Below are 2,275 nucleotides of genomic sequence, written 5' to 3'. Positions count from 1 at the left end.
TCCACAAGTAAAGACATGACCTTTAAGCTGATCGTTGGAGGAGAGCCGTTATTCCCACACGCACAGCTCTGTCTTCTCCGAGAAGTGGGCTGTGGCAAAGGGGATGTACCAAATCCAGGGCCATGGGTTGCAGGGGCTGGAGCCCAATGGGGTGCATAATGGAGCCACAGATATAATTAAGAGGCGGTTGATTTGCAATAATTATGCACTGTTTGGTTAATTCTTTCAAGATGCTAAACAGCCCTTTCCTGGGGCCGCAGTAATTGACTCTGTCAATGGCGATGCATACTGCTGTCTGGAGACGTCTGCTTGGACGACCTGCCGACTCATTTCAACACACGCACAGCATACTCGCTCACTTTCTTTGCTCATTGACTGACAGGTCTGAGCAGAAGTGCCAGGGTGGAGAGTCTGCTGTGGAGTGATGAGGAAGAGAGGGCTGGGGAAAGATTTAAATGGAAAGAAGTGCTGTCTAAACAGAGAAAGAGGAGGCAAGATGGGTGCTCTCTCACACTGAGCTCAGATGGCCTGGTTGCAAACCTGCTTTTACCCTCACCAGCTGTGTATGCTCAAACAAGCCCCTCCAGCTTTTGGAGCCTCAACTCTGCATCTGCAGAAATGGGATAAATGCCCTCACCTCAAATGGGTTGTTGCAAGGATTTAGAATAACATAATGAACAGTGCCTGGCACCGTGAGGTGTTGAATAAACATTGGCTATTATACTTGCAGAGGGACGTAAACTGAGCAGTGAAAACATATCTGGGACAAAATTAGAAAAGTTTGCAGCTAGTCCGGAAGAGGCAGTATAGGCTTTGCCTGCTGCACTGGGAATTTGCTGTGTGACCTGGGGCAAAGTCCTTAACCTCTCTGTGCCTTGCTTTCTTCTATTAAAAATGGAAATAATACTTCCCTGGGAGGATTGCACGAGGATTAAGTAAGATGGTGCCGGGCACATAACAGATCCTAAAGAAACAGTGGATCTATGTCTTTCTGCATCTTCAAATCTGGCTCTGCCTAAAAGCCAGCTCTCCTGACACCAGTGGGCAGGCAGCTGTTTACTGTGGATTTCACAGGTACTTAAACTAGCAGCTGATCTGCCAGAGAGCAACAACCTGCTTTGAATGCTTAATAAACTCCATTGATTGCCTTTCCTGGCTCCATCCCAAACTTCTCCCAACCTGGCTCTACCCTGAGCAGCTCGACAGGCTTGCAGCACGTCAGGCAGGATGAGCCACTGTATCTGGGGGAGCAGGGGGGAGGATTTCCACCCAAATGAGCCCATCTGGTCACGCGGATGACAGCTAGGGTGATGGCGAAGCCCTCTCACCAGTTCCCACTGGCACTGGATGCCCTGCCTCGAGTTATCCTTCATGATGGAGAAAGGGCTAACACATTGGTGGGTGCCACCATCCAGCTTCCTGCCCCAGGAATTGGGAGGAAGGATGGAAATTTGCTTCCAGTCATATCACAATAAGCATTAACATCCTTCCAGCCCCGCCTCCTCTGCTGACTCCACCCCCTCCAGTCCACCACCCCCAGAGTCTCTTTTTTTTTTTTTTTTTTTTTTGAGATGGAGTCTCGCTCTGTCACCCAGGCTGGAGTGCAGTGGTGCCATCTTGGCTCACCTCAGCCTCCACCTCCCAGGTTCAAGCAATTCTCCTGCCTCAGCCTCCCAAGTAGCCAGAATAACAGACATGCACCACCATGCCTGGCTAATTTTTGTATTTTTAGTACAGACAGGGTTTCGCCATGTTGGTCAGGCTGGTCTCAAACTGCTGACCTCAAGTGGTCTGCCTGCCTTGGCCTCCCAAAGTGCTGGGATTACAGGCATGAGGTACCATGCTCAGCCTCAGAGTCCTCTTTCCACAACCACAAATCTCACCATCTCATCCATCTGCTCACAAAGATCCAGTGCCTTCCCATGCCCCTCAGAGCGAAGATCACAGTCAACACAGCTTATGAGATCCTTTTACACTGAACTCTGCCAATCCCTTTGGCTTTATCTGACACCACTGCCTGTCCCTGCTCCTAACTTATTTCTCCCAGACTTGCTACACAACTTATTCTACAAGCATATTGTTCTCTTCCACACCTTTGTGCATTTCCACCTGCTATTCACTCTCCCGGAAATACCCACCCTCTTTCTCCATCTGGAAAATTCCTACTCATCCTTTAGTATCCAACTGACATCAGATCCCTGCATGAAACTTACCTACACCTCCCCAAATGCATAGCTACTCCCTCGGCATTTCCATTGTGCTTTGAAAATCTTCA

The 2,275-nt window shown here is 49.1% G+C and overlaps 1 annotated feature.

Annotated features, from left to right (window-relative positions):
- Window positions 744–1,243: an enhancer, noted in NCBI's record as "H3K4me1 hESC enhancer chr20:49693483-49693982 (GRCh37/hg19 assembly coordinates)". NCBI's record gives its function as "activates a minimal SCP1, AML or CMV promoter by ChIP-STARR-seq in primed H9 embryonic stem cells {active_cell/tissue: H9 hESC(primed)}" and the evidence as "EXISTENCE:reporter gene assay evidence [ECO:0000049][PMID:30033119]".

This window comes from Homo sapiens, chromosome 20 (genome assembly GCF_000001405.40).
Source record: "Homo sapiens chromosome 20, GRCh38.p14 Primary Assembly".
In the NCBI taxonomy this organism is placed as follows: Eukaryota; Metazoa; Chordata; class Mammalia; order Primates; family Hominidae; genus Homo; species Homo sapiens.
This window is presented reverse-complemented; position numbering and strand designations above follow the sequence as displayed.